The sequence below is a fragment of the Homo sapiens genome, chromosome 12 (assembly GCF_000001405.40).
Source record: "Homo sapiens chromosome 12, GRCh38.p14 Primary Assembly".
In the NCBI taxonomy this organism is placed as follows: Eukaryota; Metazoa; Chordata; class Mammalia; order Primates; family Hominidae; genus Homo; species Homo sapiens.
The window spans coordinates 10,158,301-10,180,790 of record NC_000012.12 but is presented as its reverse complement, the minus strand read 5'-3'; the positions used below and the strand labels follow the sequence as shown (position 1 = coordinate 10,180,790).

Below are 22,490 nucleotides of genomic sequence, written 5' to 3'. Positions count from 1 at the left end.
AAGTAAACTCAATTCTAGAAGTTGCTTCTGTCTTCTAATAACCTGAGTGATCTGATATTTCAGGAAAGCAACCACAAAGGCCCTAGAAAAGAAACAGATTTGTAACTATTGGGAGTTTATGGCGGGTAGTGAAGGGGTAAGGAGACACACATTCTCAAGACCTATCAGTTGGAAAGGATCTGTAAAAGGATTAATGGCCAGCCTTTGCAGGTAACATTTGAGAAACCCGTGTTTGTGTTTTCATTGGAAAGAAATGGCCACTAACGATGAAAAAGCGTGTGTTTCCTCTACGCAACCATGGTACTTTCTTTCACTTTCTTCACTAAAGGTAAGAGAAGCCTAAAGTGCTCAGCAGAGAAAATGCTACTTTTCAGGCTTGTTGCAAAGAGAAAAGAAAGGAAAAATGAAGGGAAGACAAGGCAAAGGGAGTGAAGAGGAAGCAAAAAGAAAATATAAGAAAAAATGGATTTTCAGATACCACTTTAACTGTTCTATTAGCAAAAAAAAAAAAAAAACAAACCATACAGCCCACTCTGTACGGGGGCCATACGGGAATCTGAGACTATCCAGTTTTCTTCATTTGCTCTCCTTCTTGCTAGATGGCATAGCTCTATAAACTTCCCTGTGACAATTGTTTAGAATCCCTCAGTCCAGTGACCCTTTTCTCCACTAATGGATTACTCAGAGACTTCTGATTCATTGTGGGGCCCAAAATATTTTAAAAGAGCCCTGCCTCTCTTATTTCTAGACTAGAGGCACCTAAACTGCTAGAACAGGATTAGAAATTCCTGGATGGGAAATTCCGTTTAGGGGAATTACACACCTAGTTTTCATAATTTGTTTGGAATTTTGAGGGATGGGTGATAAGATGCTAAAAGAGATAAAATACTTCAGCGGCACTTCTAAAGTGCCACGGCAATCCTGCTCGTTTCCATGCTCACTCTAATTTCTGTCCCCCTTTTCATTGTCATTGCCATCAGTCACACATGCATCTATGCAATCTCGTAATACTAAGGAAACTTTGTAGTTTATTCATTTCCCTATGACCCCCTGGGTTCTGTATATGTCTCCCCACCCCGCAGTTCATTTCCTTTCAGACTCTTCTGAGAGTTGATTAATCTGGGGAAAAATACTCTTTCTGCCTTTTCACCACTGAACTCACCAGGATGAAATACAGCAGGGCTGAGGCCGCCACGACATGAACTCGGACTCCCATCGGGCTGAATTCCTGCTTCTTCAGAATCTTGCACTGGGCATCCGTTGCCTCCTTTCAATGCTCTGTGCCATATTTTACTTCTTGACCTAGAATTCTTAAGAAGAGAAACTTTTCTCAGGAATTTATCAGCTTTTCTCTCTCTCGTTCTCTCTGTCTCCTCCTACTCGCTCTGGCTGTTATTTTCTATGGCTTTTCCCTCTTCTTTCCTGTTTTTCTTCTTTATTCTTATTACTATTTCTATGGCCTCCACATTTACTTCCTTTTGCCTTCTTTCTTTCCGTTACACTATTAATTCTTTCTACATCTTGAAGTTTCTTTCTCCTACTGCTCCCAAAAAGGAGACATTCAAAGAGGACATATGTGTCCTCTGAATGAAGTATTTTTCTAGACAGCGATGAAAAACTTGGCTTTGAGGATGGTCAAAGGCAGATTGCTGGTGACCAAATATATTCCTTTCTTCATCAGAAAACTGGTAATATTCTTGATCCTTCACCAGAGTACTCCAGCGTGACTGTTGCAGGGTGAAAGTCACCCTGCTAATCTCCTTTCTTCTCTCTCCGTGTGACTAACAACCCCTTCTTGCTCTTTGAAACCCTCCCCTTCACTATGTTGATAATCAACTCTCCTGGTTCTGGGTCATTTATATCCCTAAGCATTGGGGTAAGACTGAGAGGTTGCCAAGTGAACAGGAAAGCCATCTCATCTTTGGAGAAAACAGACTTGAAGATGAGAAATCAAGTCGGAAGATTAGAATTTTCAGGTGTTATCAGTGACATCTTCCTCCTCCCTGACTTCACTTCCCATTGAAATAGATAACTGAGAAAGACATTTTTTTAAAACCAAATTTTAAAAAAGCAAATGTATAGGTTTCTTTCTTTCTTGCCTTTTCTTTGTTCCTTCTTTCTCTCTCTTTCTCTCTCTCTCTCTCTCTTTGGTTAAGGAGTGATGTGATTGAGAAATAAGTCTTGTCACTCAGGAAAATAAAACCTAAGGTTAGAGTAAAAACAAGCACACATGCAAAAGCATAGAATACTTTTTTTTTTTTTTTTTTTGAGACGGAGTCTTGCTCTGTCACCCAGGCTGGAGTGCAGTGGCGCAATCTCGGCTCACTGCAAACTCTGCCTCCTGGGTTCATGCCATTCTCCTGCCTCAGCCTCCCGAGTAGCTGGGAATACTGGCGCCCACCACCACGCCCGGCTAAGTTTTTTTGTATTTTTAGTAGAGACGAGACGGGGTTTCACCATGTTAACCAGAATGGTCTCGATCTCCTGACCTCATGATCCGCCCGACTCGGCCTCCCAAAGTGCTGGGATTACAGGCGTGAGCCACCGTGCCTGGCCTAGAATACTTACAATGAAACAAAGCTATAGACACAAATGTGGCCGGGTGCCATGGCTCATGCCTGTAATCCCAGCACTTTGGGAGGCCAAGGCGGGCTGATAACTTCGGCCAGGAGTTTGAGACCAGCCTGGAGAACATGATGAAACCCTTTCTCTACGAAACATACAAAAATTAGCTGTGTGTCATGGCAGGCACCTGTAATCCCAACTACTTGGGAGGCTGAAGCAGGAGGGCCACTTGAACCCGGAAGGCAGAAGTTGCAGTGAGCCGAGATCACACCACTGCACTCCAGCCTGGGTGATAGAGCGAGAATCTGCCTCAAAAAAGCAAAATATTAAAAGAAACAAAAGAATGCTGTATGAATGATTTATACTTAAGTAGGTGATCTTTTACTTAATACCAAATGTTTAATAAAAAAATTATTATTATTATTATTATTATTATTATTATTATTATTATTATTATTTGAGACAGAGTCTCTCTGTCACCAGGCTGGAGGGCAGTGGTGCAATCTCGGCTCACTGCAACCTCTGCCTCCTGGGTTCAAGCAATTCTCCTGCCTCAGCCTCCTGAGTAGCTGGGATTATAGACACCTGCCACGACACCCAGCTAACTTTTCTATTTTCAGTAGAGACAAGGTTTTACCATATTGGCCAGGCTGGGATAAGAAAAGTAGAAGTTAGTTTACAGTGATATATCTATCTCATAAGAATTGAATAAAACCTCCTTTCAGGACCTTTCTAGCTCAGTAAATCTAATTATGCTGAGTGATTGTGGAAGGGAGACTCTTGGGTGAGCTGATCATACTCTAAGGGTCCTCACACATAGCTTGATGATGGGATATGAGAATGCAGGATATAAACTGGTTTTGTTCTCAGCTAAGGAAAACAAATAATGAGAAAATGGCCTGGTACCATACTGGTGATTTAAAATCTGTCAGTTTCAAGACGAAATGAGCACTGACAGTCTTTTATTTTTTATTTTTTTAAATTAGGCAACTGGGGTTAGGATGAAGGGTGATTTCCAGATTTCAGTAGAAGACTTGGCAAGGTGGAAGGTATTTTATAGGACAAGGAGAGCAGGGCTTTAGGTGGCCTTCCACTAAATTATTATGTAATTCCTCCAGTCCTTAACGTTCCCATTCATACAACAGGAGCAGAATACCCACTTGACCTGCTTTAGATGTTATTTCCTAGAGAAAATAAAATAAGAGACAGGAAAGCATTTTGAATAGGATATTTCTATCATGAGTGCCCTGTACGTAGGGAACCCATCATGAAACTTTCCCTTCTCTTTTTCTTGACAGAAAGACAGTAGAGCACCAAGACCTAAAGCCTAGCCAGGATACCTGGGTTTAAATACTTGGTTTTGTCACTTATGAGCTGTGTGATCTTGGAGCAGGTTATTAGACCTCTATTGGCTCATTTTCATTTTATATAAAATGGGGGTAATAGTAGTAATATTTACTTGATAGCCTTATACAGATTAAATAAGTTAATGTGTGTAAAATGAATATAACAGTCCTGATATTTTTTGTGTTTGCTAAGATTATTTTGATTTTCACTAAAGTTTACCAGTGACCTTTACTTTCAAGATTCTGGATAATTACTGTCCTTTATGCTTCTCTTGTATATTTTTATACCATTCCCTCTCCAGACCACATTTTAGTCTCCTGATATTCTAATTCTTGAATATTTTTCCTTGCTAGCCTGGCCACCTTTTCTCCCAACCACGCCAGCCTTCACCTGCCTAAACAGGTTTGCTGGTTAACATGACTCCCCGCTCGCATTGCACTTTTCTAACACGTAATTGCCATCATCTTTTTGCCCTCCAGCTTCCAAACAGGTTTGAACAAAATAGGTTCTGTTAATGACCTCCTTGTGACTTTCCTTTCTTAGAATTATTACTACCCTTTTTTTTTTTCTCACCAGATTAGTCCCTGGAAAGATAAAAGTTTGTTTTTATCCTAATGAATGAGATTATGCCTTGGGGCAGCTTTAACTCTGAATCCTGTCCCTAACCAAGCCTCCATATAGGGAATGATGAAAGAAGAAAGATAATTCAGACAAGAAGACTGAACGAAGTACACTTTGGACAGGTACAGAAGGGCAGGTAGCTGGGATAGAGGGAAATGGTCTCATTACAATCCTATACAATCTTGTGCAGTTCCATTAAGCTTGTGAATCATTAGCTTATGTCCAGGTAGTTAAGGACTTGGAGTGGAACCAGTAGAGGGTGCATGTACATAGAGTTTTACACCTATGCTTCAGGGAATTGTTATACAACTGGTGTAACAAGTGTAGCCAAACAAATTGCTTACTTCTGGTTCCACTGATCATTCTCCTTTTGACCTTGCCTAAGTCAGGTGGCCAACTATGGATTTCTTTCCTCTCTGTGCCTCAATAAAATAGAGGCCAGGACTCTGAGGCATCAACCTCAAACTATAAGTCAGTGGGTAGGGCCACAGCCCTGATTTCAAAAATAAATAATATAGCAGAAGAAGTTTCATCTTTGCAACCCTTGGGAGATCCCTTGGGAAGTGTTTCTGTCTGATAAGCCAAGATCACAGCATAGGGATTGAGTGACAGCTTCAAAGGCACTGAAATCAGTAAAAAGATTAGAGTTAAAAAAGTTAAACAAGACAGAAGGATTCAGTTTATCATAGAATGTTTTAGGTTGATATGCTGTGTAACACATCACCACAAATTATGTGAGCAGCAAGGTAAAACAATGTACTTTTATTATTTCAAAGTATCTGTGAGTCAGAAGTGTGGGCACAACTTAGTTGGGTCCTCTGCTTGATGTCTCACAAGGCTGCAGTCAAGGTGGCTGCTGGGTTGCACTCTCATCATGCATTCTCAGGTGAGCCTGGGAAGATTCACTTGCAAGCTCCCTCAGGCAGAATTTATTTCTCTATGGCTGCAGGATCCATTTAAGCTTGCTTTTAAAAATCTAGACAGGGAGATAAAGATGGAAATAGGAGAGGGAGAGTGACTTTAGCATAATAGTCACTATACCTTACATAAGCACACGTAGATGATCACATACATTCCAGCACCTCTGCTACACTCCAAGTCATAGGTCTCACTCACACTCAAGGGGAAGGATTACACAAGATCATGAACACCAGGAGGCAGGAATAATGAGAGCCCTCTAAAATTTTTCAAATCTGTCCAGTTATCTGCCACACAAGGACTGTAGAAACTATCCCACTGATCTTTAAAAACAGGATAAACCCAAACGTCCATCAATGGATAAATAAAATGTAGAATGTGGTTTATACATACAATGGAATATTATACAGACTTTAAAAGGAACAAAATTCTGACACATGCTACCACATTGATAATTGTTGAAGACATAATGCTAAATAAAATAATTTAGATACAAAAGGACAAATATTATATGATTCCACCAGTATGAGGTGCCTAAAATAAACCAATTTATAGAAACAAAAAAATGGAACGGTGGTTTCCAAGAAAGGAGAAAGGAATTGGGATTTGTATTAGGTCTGTGCAGAGAAAGAGGATCAATACGCTGTGTACATACATAGAAATAGGTTTATTATAAGGAATTGGCTTGTATGATTATAGAGCCTGGTAATTTAAAATCTGGAGTGTGGGCTGCCAGACTCGGCCAGCGAGTGGAGAACTGGGAGAGTTGATGGCTGAGTTCCAGTCCATAGACAGCTGGGGGATTCTTTCTTATTTGGGGGAAGGTTAGAAGCTTTTTGTTCTTTAGGCCTTCAACTTTTGGATGAGGCCCACCTACATTATGCAGCGAAATCTACTTTCCTCTTCTGATTAATATGTTAATCTCATTTAAAAGCATCCTGTCTGGGAACCCCATGACCCAGTCAAGAAGACACAGAAGGCCAGCACGGTGGCTCACGCTTGTAATCCCAGCACTGTGGGAGGCTGAGGCAGGCGGATCACTTGAGGACAGGAGTTCAAGACCAGCCTGGCCAACATGGTGAAACCCTGTCTCTACTGAAAATACAAAACAATTAGCCGGGAGGGGTGGCGGGCACCTGTAATCCCAGCTACTCAGGAGGCTGAGGCAGGAGAATTGCTTGAACCCAGGAGGCGGAGGTTGCAGTGAGCCGAGATCATGCCATTGCAATCCACCCTGGGTAACAAGGGTGAAACTCCATCTCAAAAACAAACAAACAAACAAACAAACAAAACACATGAAATTCACCATCACAGGAGTTATTGCTTGGTGGGTATAGAGTTTCAGTTGGGGAAGATGAAAAGTTCTGGAGATGGATGGTGGTGATGGCTGCACAACAATGTAAATGTACTTAATGCCACTGAACAGTACACCTAAAAATGGTTGAAATGGTAAACACTTTATGTTCTATAATATTCATGGCATCCAAAATAACTGAGTCACTGTAGAAATGATAATGTGCCCTTTTCAGTGTGATATCGTTTCAGTATTTTTTAATTCTTTTTTTTTTTTTTTTTTAAAGGGAGTCTCGCTCTGTTGCCCAGGCTGGAGTACAGTGGCACAATCTCAGCTCACTGAAAATGAAAAGCATTTTCATTTTCCACCTCCCAAATAGCTGGGATTATAGGCTTGCAACCAGGCCCAGCTAACTTTTGTATTTTTAGTGGTGACAGGGTTTCAACAGGTTGGCCAGGCTGGTCTCGAACTCCTGACCTCAGTGATCCACCCCCCCCCTCAGCTTCCCAAAGTGCTGAGATTACAGGCATGAGCCACTGCACCTGGCCAACTTTTTCAATTTGTTCTCAAATACTCTGCACATAATAAAAGGAATATAGGAAACAGGGAGGAGGAGGGAAATGGAATCCTAATTAGGCTGTCAATATTGGTAATTTTTCCTAATAGTTTCCTATATGTTTTATTTATGTATTTATTTTTCCATTCTTCCTTTGTGTATTCTTTTCTTTGCACTTTTTTTTCCTGGAGTAATTTAAAGTAAATGCCAGATATCATATCATTTTGCTTATAAATACTTCCTTCAGAAGACATCTCTAATAGATATATATCTGGTTAGGAGGTTGTCAAGGGAAAATAGAAAAGTATTCTATCAGTAAATACATATAGACATACTTATGGGTCTCTCATGTAAGCGTCTTTGTGACATGAGTCAATCATGGATTTTACTGAAATACATTATTTGATGGGTAATTCAACTGTGCTGAATATTAGTACTATACTAATAATTATTATTTATTGGCTTCTTATTATGCTCCAAGTACAAAGCTTGTCATTTTTAACCAGCGTGTCATTTGAATTCCTATAGCAACGTGACATTTTTCACAAACCTAGTGTAAAAAAGCTTATTATTTTTACCCAGCATGTCATTTGAATTCCTATAACAATGTTATCAGGTAGACATTATCCCTAATTTCCAGACATGTCATTTGAATTCCTATAACAATGTTATCAGGTAGACATTATCCCTAATTTCCAGACAAAGACATAGATTCAAAGTATTAAGATTTCCCAAGATTGTAGACTAAAGGAAAGTACTGAAACTAGCTCTTTCTGCATTCAAAGTGCTCTCTGCTGCTACGTTACACTGGCACTGCATGAACTAGTAGCCCCAGATAAATTCTAAAATCACCCAGGACACACCATCGCTGGAAATGGGAGCCATATGTGATTCACCCCAAAATTCTTAGATCCATTGCCAGATAAAACAGTGAAAATCAAAAGAGAATATATCTGATTCGTAAAAGACACCATATAGAAACAGTCTGCTAATGAAATTAGCAAACAAACATTGGAATCAAATATTTTGGCCCATAATTCTGGCACATTTTTTACAAATGTAGTGTGACTTACTCTCTTTGAATTTCAGTTTCTGTCTCTGAAGAGTGGGTACAATATCTCTCCTCTGATGCTCATGAAAAATAGTTTTCCCTTTCATAAATTACTTAGCGAAATATCCTGAAACACCTTCAGAATCACCACTTTCTCCACCTGCAATACACATAACTCAAGAATTTGCGTCAGCGAACTTCCCAATATGAAGCAAAGCCTCTCCTTCCTCCTACCAATGATTGAGTCATTCTTCTATTAGATAACAGTAGCTATTTAAATACTTCTGCAGAAGCTCACATATTTTTAGTTTGTTGAAGTTCGTGACTGCTTCACTCTCTCATTCTTAGCTTGAATTTGGAAATGACTTTTGATGACCTAAAGATCCAGACTGTGAAGGACCAGCCTGATGAGAAGTCAAATGGAAAAAAAGCTAAAGGTACTAGGGATGGGAAAATGTGTACAGGGAAAGAATCCCAGTGTTAGCCCCAAAATGTAAATTCACCGAAGAATGGGATTAGAAAGCTAAACACCCAAGTATGGGAAAATAGAATTAATACCATTTACTTAAAAGAAAAACAAGAAGGCTATAATGATGATGATGATGACAACTTATTTATAACAATTTATACTGAGTATTTACTACAGGTTATTCTATATGTTATTCACTTTCAGAGTATTATTTCTCAGAATCTTCGCAATAACATTTTGAGATTGGTACTATTACTATCTCCCTTTTACAGAGAGCTAACTGGGCATCAGGAGGACTAACAACATCATCCAGTTTCACGGAGCTAATAAGTGGTAGAGCTAGGACTGTACCACAAACTCCCATTTATCCAGAATTCTATACATCGGAGGGCTCGGGAACCAAATTTATCTGGTGTATATAACGATAATTTCTGTAAGAGTCCTTCAGGCACTACAAAAACCTGAAGTACCTCATGAATTATGCAGGCAAAGTAAATGATATTCAGTATAGTTTAGCATAAGTTACATTTTGTTGTGTACTACTGCTTTGAAAAATTGTAAGTTCTGTTTGACCCATACAGTAATTAAATTGCATAGCTATAAATTAATTCATAATCCCAATTCCACAGACAATCTGGGTAAATTGCCTTTTATTCTATATCTGTTCTGAGGAAAATGAACAGAATATAAGGAGAGAAAGAGAGACAAGTATTGTCAGAAATTTGGATAAAGAAATTCCAAATTACATTTCCAAAAACAAAACAGAAATTTCTCTCAATAGAGAACATAAGTGTGAGCATGGAGTGATTTAACATTTGAGCCAATGAACTAAATTGCTATAAAAACTGCTGATATTTATAGGTAAAACCAGAAGTGAACAATAGTCATTCGTTTCTTTACTCATTCATTATTTGTGTAGTAAATATTGAGGGTCTGAATTTTACAATAATCATGAGATTGATTTTTCTTTCAGAATCTTGGTTAGATCGGTACCTACTGCAAAGAATCGGATTGGTTTATGATTGGAAAATCACTAGTAGGGGCAGCAGTTGGATTAATGGTCTCTGCCTACCAAGGACACAGGACAAAGAGAATCTATAGAAAAAGGGAACACATACCTTCCTTCACAGGGTCCTGTGATTTTCTTTTTCCTCTAAAAATTTAGTTTTTCATTATTTAAGAGTGATGAGGCCAGGCGCGGTGGCTCACGCCTGTAATCCCAGCACTTTGGGAGGCTGAGGTGGGCGGATCATGAGGTCAGGAGTTCGAGACCAGCACGGTGAAACCTCATCTGTACTAAAAATACAAAATTTAACCTGCTGTGGTGGTGCGCGGCTGCAATCCCAGCTGCTCAGGAGGCTGAGGCAGGAGAATCACTCGAACCCAGGAGGCGGAGGTTGCAGTGACCTGAGATGGCGCCATGGCACTCCAGCCTGGGCGAAGAGCAAGCTCCCCCTCAAAAAAAAAAAAAAAAAAAAGAGCACGATGAGGGTATCTGATGCCCTACAATGTGGAATGAACAGTGACCACAGAGTTGAAAGATTTACATAGAGGTATTTGCCCCTGAGGCTAGAATTAGGCAATTATTTGCAAGAGACACAGCTATCTTCTACAACTTCTCTGCTAGCTTGCCACACACACTCTAGAAGCCAGTAAGTATTGAATCAGAAGATGAACCATATTTATCCCTGTCAAGTTTCTATCTTCTTTTTATCATTTGTGGAGTCTAACACACTACCTTTGACATATGAAAACTTTGAATATATCTGACCACTGCTTGACTGGATCATTATACATTCACACTGGAAATTGTATTATAATATTTCAAGTCATGTAGCTACTGACAATTAGACTAAAGACTTATTTTTGGGTTTTAGCATCTGTGTGATCTTAAGCAAGTCACTAAACCTTTCAGTCTCCTTATTTGCATACAGAGGATAATGATAGGAGTACCTTATTTGTTTATCTCACAAGGTGAGGAAACCAAATACATTGTATGGGATGTTTTCCTACACAACCAGTAATATCTGTGATTTTTTTTTTTTTAGTGGTGGAACACATAATTGTATATTCATACACCTGTGAGCTATGTGATTTTTTTTTCAAAATGGTGAATATTTCTCTTGTAAAATCAAGCCTACACTTGGCGTGAGTGTAGGATATGCTGTTAATATAAGCTAAATTAATATCAAGGTTTCATCCCTACTTTTCTTTGATTAATAACCCCAGTTCCAGGTTGTAATTTTGGTGGACTCATAATTGAATAGCATAAAATTATTCATAAAGTTATTTGAGGTAATCTCAGTTGATTAACTGAAGAAAGCTTGTTTGCTTGATGTCTGATATTTATGTTACTTTTGTGTGCACATGTGTACACGTGGTGTATATTAAAAACTTCAGGCTCTCTGCACTGTGGATGAATTTGATCCAACCAAGCTAGACTGTGAGTTTCTTGAGGAGTAATTGTCGGGAAAGTAGATAAAGTATAAGCTTTAGAATCATATATTTAGATTCAAATATCTGGTATCGAATCCTGGCTCTGAATTTACTGGCTGTGTGACCATGGGTAAATTACTTAAATTCCTTAACTCTCCCTGTTTTCCATTCCTAAATGTGTATGATGAATTATTTGCAGAGCCATTTGGAGGACTAGTGGTATGGAATGCAAACTATTTATGTCTATTTACTAAAACATAAACAGAGTAAATCACCAAGTACAGACAGGCTCCAAGGAATGGTTTGCTTACTTGTTCACTCTTTTTTGTCTTTCTGATTCTATCCTCTGTCACTCTAGGTCTTCAGTTTCTTTACTCTCCATGGTGGTGCCTGGCTGCTGCGACTCTAGGGGTCCTTTGCCTGGGATTAGTAGTGACCATTATGGTGCTGGGCATGCAATGTAAGTGCTAAAATACGGAACTGATGTTTATTGGGGCAGGGGTGTTGGAAATGAGGTTAATAAATATGGTTTATAAGTTTCTTTCATAACAACTACAAACAGCCTTGATATAGATTCATTTTAGGCAAAATGTTTTTAAGAGTGACCATGAAAATAAAGGGGTATATTGTTCATCTTCCAATGGATAGAGCCATGAAATAAAAATTACAATTGGTAGGCATTTTTTTGTTTGTTTGTTTTGTTTTGTTTTGTTTCTTTTGTTTTCATAACTTCATGGATAGGCCGGGTGCGGTGGCTCACACCTGTAATCCCAGCACTTTGGGAGGCCAAGGTGGGTGGACCACCTGAGGTCAGGAGTTCAAGACCAGCCTGGCCAACATGGTGAAACCCCATCTCTACTAAAAATACAAAAAGTAGCCGGGTGTGGTGGCACATGCTTGTAATCCCAGCTACTCAGGAGGCTGAGGTAGGAGAATAGCTTGAACCGGGGAGGTGGAATTTGCAGTGAGCTGAGACTGCACCATTGCACTCCAGCCTGGGCAACAGAGCGAGACTCCATTTCAAACAAAACAAACAAACAAAAAACCAACCTCATGGATAGAGCCTATTTAAATTCTAGAATGATGGAGAAGATAATAACTTAAAGTTACTAATATCCAAGATCATCTGAGAGGCCCAAAAGTAAAAGAAATTTTATTTAGCTTGCTGAGTTTTGATAGAGATAATTAAATACCATTTTAATGTTAAGAACCAGAAACACAATCTTAATAAATAAAACATTTAAAATAAAATATATTTCACATTTATAATAAGAGCATTTAGAAAAGAGAAGATATTGAGGGAAAAAAAGAAGTGAAAAGATGGCCCAGAGTGGCCAAGAAGGAAAGAAAATGGTGCCCAACGTTCACCTGAACTGCCTGTGAATTTAGGTTGTAGAACTGAGTTGTTTAGGCTACCCAGGATCCAGGTTATTATGGCCATTGAAGTGCTATTTGCTTCCTAACTGTTGTTCAAGCTCACAAACTATTTTATTTTAAATTTGTAAATACTTAGGGCCTTTCCTAGTGACAAGGAGAAGTGCCCTTGACTTAGTGGTGGTGACCAGAAAAATCTTTTGAGCCTTTGATCATCTTATAACAGGATCAAAGCTGCCTTCAAACCAAGCGGTCTGCTTTGTATTGCACCATCAAAATTCAGGAACTGAGACATTTGACCCTTAACATGTTATCGCCTGCTTGATTTCACAACCTTCACTTTATCTTCACCCTTCCTAAAATGTACCGTGGCCAAGGGGAAAAAAAAAAGAAAAGAAAAAATTCTTGGAGACTCTTGTGACACAGTGTGCGTGGCTGTCTCAAAAAAGGGGTGTATGTCACAGTTCTTAAAATTAGGAAGTCTGGAAGAGTAGACAGAATGGGAGGAGACACAGCAGAGGAATTGAGACATAAATAGAGTAAATCGCTAATGACATTTCCTACTAATAGTCACTGAGTCTGGTGGGTGTCTGTTTCAGGTTTTCCTTATTTTATTTATTCTAATGCTGTACTGGTTATCTTGTGATTACTTTTCATTTGTAACTCAATAAAAAAAAATCTTGGGTTTTTTTTGTTGTTGTTGTTGTTTTTTATTTTTTTTGAGACAGTCCCCCTCTGTCGCCAGGCTGGAGTGCAGTGGCACTGTGATTCCCCTGCCTCAGCCTCCTGAGTAGTTGGGACTACAGGCGCGTGCCACCACCCTCAGCTAATTTCTTTGGTATTTTTAGTAGAGATGGGGTTTCACCATGTTGGCCAGGATGGTCTCTATCTCTTGACCTCGTGATCTGCCTGCCTCGGCCTCCCAAAGTGCTGGGATTACAGACCTGAGCCACCGTGCCTGGCCAAAATCTTGGTAATTTTTAAAAAAATTACAAGTGTTTGCAATGTTCCTGACATTAAACAAAATACTGCAGGAATATTCAAGAACCTCCAAATCTGTAACTTCTGAGTAAATCTGGGTCATTTTTCAGCAGCTTATCTATTGTCAAAATAGATTTAATTCTGTTTTGATTTCCTCAAAAAGTCCCTGGAGGGATTTTTATTTGGATTAGAACTAGAGTCTTAATGCAACTGTGATTCAGTATCCCAGGTGTCTGACCTCCTAACACAAGAGCAAGCAAACCTAACTCACCAGAAAAAGAAACTGGAGGGACAGATCTCAGCCCGGCAACAAGCAGAAGAAGCTTCACAGGAGTCAGAAAACGAACTCAAGGAAATGATAGAAACCCTTGCTCGGAAGCTGAATGAGAAATCCAAAGAGCAAATGGAACTTCACCACCAGAATCTGAATCTCCAAGAAACACTGAAGAGAGTAGCAAATTGTTCAGGTATTGGGAGAAGGGTGGGTAAGGAGACATAGTGGAAGCTTTCTGTCCAATCATAACTATTTTTTGGAAACAATTCTGGGCTCAAAATTGGTCTATTGTTATGCATATCATTATTCATTCATAATGTTCTATACAAGAAGTTCTCAATTTCTTTTTCTTTTTCTTTCTTTTTCTTTTTTTTTTTTAGATGGAGTTTCGCTCTTTTGCCCAGGCTGGAGTGAAGTGGTGTGATCTCTGCTCACTGCAACCTCCACCCCCTGGGTTCAAGTGATTCTCTTGCCTCAGCCTCCCAAGTCGTTGGGACTACAGGCTCCCATCACCACGCCCAGCTAATTTTTGTATTTTCAGTAGAGACAGGGTTTCACCATGTTGGCTAGGCTGGTCGCGAACTCCTGACCTCAGGTGATCCACCCATCTTGGCCTCCCAAAGTGCTAGGATTACAGGCATGAGCCACCGCTCTCGGTCAATTTTTTATTTATTTTATTATTATTTTTTAATTTTAGACGGAGTCTTGCTCTGTCACCCAGGCTGGAAAGCAGTGGTGTGATCTCAGTTCAATAAGCTTCTGCTTCTTGGGTTCAAGCAGTTCTCCTGCCTCAGCCTCCCAAAGTGCTTGGGATTACAAACATGAGCCACCATGCCCAACTAATTTTTGTACTTTTAGTAGAGACAGGGTTTTGCCATATTGAACAGGCTGGTCTCAAACTCCTCACCTCAAGTCATCCGCCTGCCTCAGCCTCCCAAAGTGCTGGGATTACAGGTGTGAGCCACCGCACCCGGCAAGAAGTTCTAAATTTTTAATCAGAACCACCCTATGCTGTGTCAAATCCTTGAAAAATCTGATTTAATTAAGCATACCTTTTGGTGGATTTAAGTTTTCCTTCTTTATAAGAGCCTCTTCTTTTTAAAATTTTAGTTTTGAGATTTTTCTTTCTTTTTTTTTATTTTTTGAGACAGTCTCGCTGTGTCACACCCAGGCTGGAATGCAGTGGTGTGATCTCAGCTCACTGCAACCTCCACCTCCTGGGTTCAAGTGATTCTCTTGCCTCAGCCTCCCTAGTAGCAGTTTTGACATTTTTCTTGAAGAATTCTGCCACCCCCACCCCATTCCATAGATCCTTATCTCTTTCCATTCCAATGCATTTTAATCACTGTATTTCTTTTTCTAAGGGATCTTTTTGTCCTTGCAACTGTCTACCCCTAACTCTACATTAGCTCACTCTGTGGCATTATTTCTTAAAGTGTACTACATCAACTTATTTTATTTGATTTCAATTTTTGGAGATGGAGTCTCGCTCTGTCGCCCAGGCTGGAATGCAGTGGCCTGATCTCGGCTCACTGCCACCTCCGCCTCCAGGGTTCAAGCAATTCTCATGTCTCAGACTCCCAAGTAGCTGGGATTACAGGCACCCACCACCACGCCCGGCCAATTTTCTTTTTTTTTTTTTGAGAGGGAGTCTCGCTCTGTCCCCCAGGCTGGAGGGCAGTGGCACATTCTCGGCTCACTGCAACTTCCGCCTCCCGGGTTCGAGGGATTCTCCTGCCTCAGCCTCCCGAATAGTTGGGATTAGAGGCACCCGCCACCACACCTGGCTAATTTTTGTATTTTTAGTAGAGATGGTGTTTCACCAAGTTGGCCAGGCTGGTTTTGAACTCCTGACCTCGGGTGATCCGCCCGCCTCGGCCTCCCAAAGTGCTGGGATTACAGGTGTGAGCCACTGTGCCGGGCCCATCAATTTAAATAGAGCCAATGGAGGTAGACTGGCTTGCAAGCCTTACGCAGATACTTCAGATTAGACAAAAATATGAGGAGTCCAAGAAGTCTATTTATATAAGAAGAAATGAGTTAATTTTAGCCGTCTAAAGGGACTCAGAATCCAGAGGCAGGCAGAAATAGTAGCATCTATAAGAAGACTATGATGTGAACTCTGATATTGTTACAGAAGCTACTGTATTATTTGGTCTTTCTGCAGTATGTCATTACATCAGGTATATGGTTTTAGGCATAGGGAGAGTTAAAAGGTGTGAGAGAGAGTCATTCAGAGGTACTTTGTTTCCTTGGAGGTGCGTAAATTAGTGCCCTATTGTCAGGATTAGAGAAAAACTTCCTCTAATAAACAGAGATCTCTCTAGCTTCTTGCTTGCACAATTTACTTAATCTCAACCACATAATTTATTTGAATAAAGAGCATATAATAATAGTTCACAGATACCTAAGCTTTTCCTTGATAGGTGGAACACTGAGACCCGGATAAAGTGAAATGATAATAAAAAGTAATTTTGTGTAAGGTTTTGCAGTTTGTAAATCCCTTCACTATTTAGAGGTCATTTACATTTTCAAAATTAGCAGAAATTTTTGAACAAAATAATTTTTAGCAAGTGTCAAACATTTTTAATCTCTTTAAAGTTGGAGCTTGCAAGGAAATGAATATACCACCTTCAAGAAGGCTTAAAGGGAGAAAGTTTATCTATTAAGGATAGGAATGTTTATAAAAGCGGACATAACCACGTACTAACCAATGGTTTATATCACAGGCAAGGCCAGAAGAGAATTTTGTCTTTATCAGTTGTATGGGATTAAATCTACATCAGGACCATTCAGAACTATCTCCCAGAGATGCCCTGGATGAACAACTAATAAAAAACAATAAGTGATATGTCTGATGCTGGCAGATATACCAAGTAACATGTTCCATTCCTTGACAGTGTCAGATAAAGGCTAATTAGTAGAGATAGCAAATAAAGTTTTGCCTTTCATCAAAGAGCATTTTTTTTTTTTTGAGACGGAGTCTCGCTCTGTCACCCAGGCTAGAGTGCAGTGGTGCGATCTAGGCTCACTGCAACCTCCGCCTCCCGGAGTCAAGCAATTCTCCTGCCTCAGCCTCCTGAGTAGCTGGGATTACAGGCGCCTGCCACCACGCCCAGCTAATTTTTGTATTTTTAGTAGAGACGGGGTTTCACCATGTTGGTCAGGCTGGTCTCGAACCCCTGATCTCGTGATCCACCCACCTTGGCCTCCTAAAGTGCTAGGATTACAGGTGTGAGCCACCAGGCCCGGCCCACCAAAGAGCTTTGAGAAGTCTTTAAAAAGTAATACTAAAATACCACATACAGAAAAAAAAAAAAAGCCAAGTTTTTCCAGTTTGAGGCAAGTTTTATCTTTTTTACTAAAAAGTCTGTGGTCTTCAATGTATATATGAGGAGGGAGAGATGCTGAGAGGTTATTATATGTTTGCTTTAGGCCAACGAGCTAGTGAGATGCAGGGCCTTTGCAGGAATAGACTTCACATTTAGCAATGGAATTTGTGGTGATTCTCAAACTTTACTGTATGTAAATAGATTGTTAAAAGTGGCAGATTACAGATTTACCTCAAGATTCTGTATCAAAATGTCTCGAGAGCAGCACCGAGAAACACTTCCTCAAATGGTTTTAACTTAGAAGTTTGAAAGGTAGTATGTTATAGTGGTGAAACACCCAGACTCTAGAGTTACATTATCTAGGTCCAGATTCTTCTCTATTTGTCAAATGAAGAAAATGACTGGAACCTATCTCACAGAGATACTGTGAGGATTAAATGAGTTAATACCTGTACAGTACTTCCAACAGTTTCTGGCACATAGTGAGTGATATTTGTGTTTGTTAAATTATATAAAAAATAAACATAGTAAGTGATATTTGTATTGTTATATAATTTAACAAACACAAATATCACTTACTCTGTTTATTTTTGTGTACACACACACACACACACACAAAGAAATACAGTAAGTTTAAATACTACATTTTGTAATGTGTCCTTCTTACTTTGTCATAACTGGGAAAACTTGCCCAGACTGTCTTTTTAGTCCACAAAAAACTTATATACATCTAAATATATTTTTTGAGACAGAGTCTTCCTCTGTCATCCAGGTTAGAGTGCAGTGGCATGATCTCAGCTCACTGCAACCTCCACCTCCTAGGTTCAAGTGATCCTTCCACCTCAGTCTCCTAAGTAGCTGAGACTACAGGCGCACACCACCACACCCAGTGAATTTTTGTGTTTTTTGTAGAAATGGGGTTTCGCCATGTTGCACAGGCTGGTCTGGAACTCCTGGCCTCAAGCGATCCACCCACCTCAGCCTCCCAAAGTGGTGGGATTATAGGCATGAGCCACCACCCCCAGCCAAAAACGTACATATATTTATATTTACATAATATGATGGGGTTAGGCAAACTAAGAAGTAAGAAGCTTGCATTGACTGCTTTCAACTTGGTCTCTTTTTCTTTTCATAAGCATCAGTTTGGTGAAAAATCAACTTAGTGTTTTGTATGCTCTTTCTCATTCACTTTTTTCTGTTTTTCAGTCCCTCCTATTTTCTCCTCTCTGATAAAGCCTACTCTTATACATTTATTTAGTGGTTTTATGCCACAGTGAGAATGAAATTAAAATGCTGCCTTTCTCAAAGATTTTAATTTTTCACCTTTTGGTTGTAGTGTAGACCAGAGTACTTTGTTTCCCCTTAAGGAGATGGGAGAGATGATGATGATGATGGTGATGATAGTGATGATTTGAGGGTTCCTGAAAGCATCCATAAACATGTAGACATTGGTATATTTTGCCTATTGTCTAAGTCCTGTTTTTGGTTTGGTGGACTCCCTGTGAATTTTGCTACTGAAAATCTCCTTATTTTCTAAAATCTCGTTTAAATTGAGATCCTCGCTTTATATTAATATACTATTTTCCCTAGAACAACTCTGTACAAAAGAAATATAGTATGTGTTTTTTATATATATATATATATATATCATTAAAATTTCTAGTAACCACATAAAAATGAAAAAGAAGCAGATAAAATTAATTTTAGAAACACATTTTATTTAACCCAAGATATTTGAAATATTATTTCAATACTAATCAGTATAAAAATTTTTAATGGACTATTTTACATTCTTTTTCTTTTTCAAATTAAGTTTTCAAAATCTTTTGTGTGTTTTACACTTATAGTACATCTTAATGCAAACTAGCCGGGTGTGGTGGGTCATGCCTGTAACTCCAGCACTTTGGGAGGCTGAGGCAGGAGGATTGCTTGAGGCCAGGAGTTCAAGACCAGCCTGGACAACATAGCGAGACCCTGTTTCAATTAAAATAATTTGTTTTAAGAAATGCAAACTAGCTATATTTCTAGTACTCAAGAATCACATATGGCTACTGTATTAGACAACACATGTCTGAAAGCAAGACACATAGTATTTAAGCCTAGATTCATTATTCAAAGATATGAAATTTTAAAATGCATAGCATTACTTTTTAAAAATAGCAGAATGGCTATTAAATATCTGTTCTCCCAACCCTCACTTTCTTTATTTCCAACACAACTTTAAAAAATAGATCAGTTTCTAAAATTACATGCTAGCTTAACTTGCTTTTCATCAGGGGAAGTGAAAATGCTAAATGAGAAGTACATTTAGGTTGCTAAAATCAGTATGCTTTCTTTCTTTCTTTTTTTTCCCAAAAAATGAAGAAATAAGGACTCTGAGGCTATTTAGGTATTTGCAGAACCTGGGTAAAATTTTACTTAAGAAGTAGTGTGGGCAGGGCGCGGTGTCTCACGACTATAGTCCCACTACTTTGGGAGGCTTGGCCTACATGGTGAAACCCCATCTCTACTAAAAATACAAAAACAAAAACAAAAACAAAAATAAATAGTATGCACGTGAGAGAACTAAGGGGATCATTGATTTAAGAACTGCAGTACTGCTTTTACACAAACATAACTGACTGATGAGATATACTATCCTTCCCAGCTCCTTGTCCGCAAGACTGGATCTGGCATGGAGAAAACTGTTACCTATTTTCCTCGGGCTCATTTAACTGGGAAAAGAGCCAAGAGAAGTGCTTGTCTTTGGATGCCAAGTTGCTGAAAATTAATAGCACAGCTGATCTGGTGAGTGTTCATGGATATTTGTTGGGGTGGAGTATTGGTTGATAGGGAAATTAATCTGGTTTAAACTGTCACTGGAGGAATTCTTGTTTGAGAGCCAAAATGTCTGTTTTTTTAGCTTAGTCTGATCACCAATTTTGTGTATGACCTTGGACGGACAGGCTCTGTAGTATCTCTAGCCTTCAGTAAGTGTTTCCGTAAAACAGTCAAGGGGATGTCAAAGATACCTTTTGGTTCTTTAGTTTTGTGGATCCAACACTAACTGACTTTCAGATTCTAAAACCACCATGTGGATTCCACAAACTCAGAAACATTACTCCCCACAGGACTTCATCCAGCAAGCAATTTCCTATTCCAGTTTTCCATTCTGGATGGGGCTGTCTCGGAGGAACCCCAGCTACCCATGGCTCTGGGAGGACGGTTCTCCTTTGATGCCCCACTTGTAAGTTTCCCATTCTTTTTGATGCCTCTCTCGTCAGTTTCCTATTCTTTGCTGAACCTGCTAGTGAGGTCACTGCCTGCATCCCACCAATGTCCTCTTCTTGCCAGAGAGAAGCTTGGGGGAATTTCTCAAAGTCTCCTTCCTTACCTCTTTCACAAAAAGATTTACTCATTAACCATTCAGACATTTTCTTGAGTTTTCCTTCCCACATTTATTACTGATTGGAGGCTTTAAGACAAAAAGTTTCAAAAGCTAAGTTTCTGAAACAAGGTGGCAGTAAACCTAAGTTTTTTTGTTGGTTTGTTTTGTTTTTTCCTACCTGCAGATTTAGAGTCCGAGGCGCTGTCTCCCAGACATACCCTTCAGGTACCTGTGCATATATACAACGAGGAGCTGTTTATGCGGAAAACTGCATTTTAGCTGCCTTCAGTATATGTCAGAAGAAGGCAAACCTAAGAGCACAGTGAATTTGAAGGCTCTGGAAGAAAAGAAAAAAGTCTTTGAGTTTTATTCTGGAATTTAAGCTATTCTTTGTCACTTGGGTGCCAAACATGAGAGCCCAGAAAACTGTCATTTAGCTGGCTGCAGAACTCCTTTGCAGAAACTGGGGTTCCAGGAGCCTGGCACCTTTATGTCAACATTTTTGATTCTAGCTACCTGTATTATTTCACCTAGCTTGTCCCAAGCTTCCCTGCCAGCCTGAAGTCCATTTTCCCCTTTTTATTTTAAAATTTGACTCCTCTTCAAGCTTGAAAACCCTCTGAACTCAGTCTTCTTTACCTCATTATCACCTTCCCCTCACACTCCTAAAATTGCATGAAAGACAGAACATGGAGAACTTGCTCAAGTGCAGGCAGAGAGCAAAAAGGGGAAATATGTCTGGGAAAAAGTGCACGTGAAGAAACAAAGAAGGACAGAGGCCATTCCGAAATCAAGAAACTCATGTTCTTAACTTTAAAAAAGGTATCAATCCTTGGTTTTTAAACTGTGGTCCATCTCCAGACTCTACCACTTACGGACAGACAGACAGACAGACACACACACACACACACACACACATTTTGGGACAAGTGGGGAGCCCAAGAAAGTAATTAGTAAGTGAGTGGTCTTTTCTGTAAGCTAATCCACAACCTGTTACCACTTCCTGAATCAGTTATTATTTCTTCATTTTTTTTTCTACCAGAGGACAGATTAATAGATTTAACCCTTCACAACAGTTCTTGTTAGAATCATGGGATGTGTGGCCCAGAGGTAAGAATAGAATTTCTTTCCCTAAAGAACATACCTTTTGTAGATGAACTCTTCTCAACTCTGTTTTGCTATGCTATAATTCCGAAACATACAAGACAAAAAAAATGAAGACACTCAATCTAGAACAAACTAAGCCAGGTATGCAAATATCGCTGAATAGAAACAGATGGAATTAGAAATATATCTTCTATTTTTAGGCTTCTATTTCCTTTCCACCCACTCTTCACAGGCTATTCTACTTTAAAGGAAGCCTTTTTATTTTGCTGCACACAATCTAGCAGGAATCTTTTTTTTTTTTTAAGAGCTGTGTCATCCTTATGTAGGCAAGAGATGTTTGCTTTTGTTAAAAGCTTTATTGAGATATAATTAACATAAAATAAACTGAACATATTTAAAGTGTACTATTTGATAAGTTTTCACACCTTGTGGAGAACATGCATACTACAATTAAGAGAGTGAACATATCCATCATCCCTCAAAGTGTCACAATGCTCCTCCTGATGACTCCTCCCCAGAAAACCACCAATCGGCTTTCATTTTGCATTTTGTAGTTTTATGTGAATGGAATCATATAGTATGTCTTTTTTTTTTGTCTGGCTTCTTTCACTTTGCATAATTATTTTGAGATTCATATGTCTCCATCTTGATGCTCGTATGAATTCATTCTTTTAAATGTTGAATATTCCCTTGTATGGATATACCACAATTCATTTACCCATTTACTTGTTGATGACATTTGGGTTGTTTTAGTTTTGGGATATTACAAATAAAGCTGCTGTGAACATTTGTGTACAA

The 22,490-nt window shown here is 39.2% G+C and overlaps 2 protein-coding genes across 13 annotated transcripts in view, besides 2 other annotated features; one reads left to right on the top strand and one right to left on the bottom strand.

Moving 5' to 3' along the window:
• Window positions 1–10,278, bottom strand: part of TMEM52B (transmembrane protein 52B) — a 21,292-nt gene extending 11,014 nt beyond the window's left edge. For 3 of the 7 annotated variants that reach the window (NM_001384896.1, NM_001384897.1, NM_153022.4), the window contains exon 1: window positions 1,163–1,759. In NM_001384896.1, the coding sequence (NP_001371825.1) occupies window positions 1,163–1,216 (54 nt within the window). In that variant the 5' untranslated portion in view covers window positions 1,217–1,759. Of the gene's footprint in view, window positions 1–1,162; window positions 1,760–5,293; window positions 5,510–8,374; window positions 8,534–9,939 lie in introns of those variants that run through there. The other 4 variants (NM_001079815.2, NM_001384898.1, NM_001384894.1 and 1 more) reach the window with 3 other exon arrangements.
• Window positions 202–1,401: an enhancer, noted in NCBI's record as "P300/CBP strongly-dependent group 1 enhancer chr12:10331989-10333188 (GRCh37/hg19 assembly coordinates)". NCBI's record gives its function as "activates an origin of replication core promoter dependent on BRD2, BRD4, P300/CBP, MED14 and CDK7 cofactors, with strong dependence on P300/CBP, by STARR-seq in HCT116 cells {active_cell/tissue: HCT116}" and the evidence as "EXISTENCE:reporter gene assay evidence [ECO:0000049][PMID:35650434]".
• OLR1 (oxidized low density lipoprotein receptor 1) lies at window positions 4,525–22,490 on the top strand. 6 transcript variants are annotated; one of them, XM_047428907.1, is made up of 7 exons: window positions 4,525–4,655; window positions 8,701–8,789; window positions 11,616–11,717; window positions 13,834–14,079; window positions 19,866–20,005; window positions 20,329–20,444; window positions 20,770–22,490. In XM_047428907.1, the coding sequence occupies exons 2-7, from the start codon at window positions 8,714–8,716 to the stop codon at window positions 20,909–20,911; spliced, it is 822 nt and encodes a 273-aa protein (XP_047284863.1). In that variant the 5' UTR covers window positions 4,525–4,655; window positions 8,701–8,713; the 3' UTR covers window positions 20,912–22,490. The 6 variants fall into 6 exon arrangements, with proteins under 6 accessions (XP_047284863.1, XP_047284865.1, NP_002534.1 ...); XM_047428909.1 differs by lacking the exon at window positions 4,525–4,655 and adding an exon at window positions 9,795–10,473 and having other exon boundaries at window positions 8,659–8,789; NM_002543.4 differs by lacking the exon at window positions 4,525–4,655 and having other exon boundaries at window positions 8,659–8,789.
• Window positions 12,874–13,074: a silencer, noted in NCBI's record as "peak1568 fragment used in MPRA reporter construct". NCBI's record gives its function as "represses an SCP1 promoter by STARR-seq MPRAs in K562 erythroleukemia cells {active_cell/tissue: K562}" and the evidence as "EXISTENCE:reporter gene assay evidence [ECO:0000049][PMID:32103011]".

Bases quoted from the DNA above. Each gene is read 5' to 3' on its own strand.
- OLR1 (XM_047428907.1), top strand. From the start codon at position 8,714: ATGACTTTTGATGACCTAAAGATCCAGACTGTGAAGGACCAGCCTGAT. The intron at 14,080-19,865 runs GTATTGGGAGAA...TATCCTTCCCAG, and splicing joins GAGAGTAGCAAATTGTTCAG to CTCCTTGTCCGCAAGACTGG. The intron at 20,445-20,769 runs GTAAGTTTCCCA...TCCTACCTGCAG, and splicing joins TCTCCTTTGATGCCCCACTT to ATTTAGAGTCCGAGGCGCTG.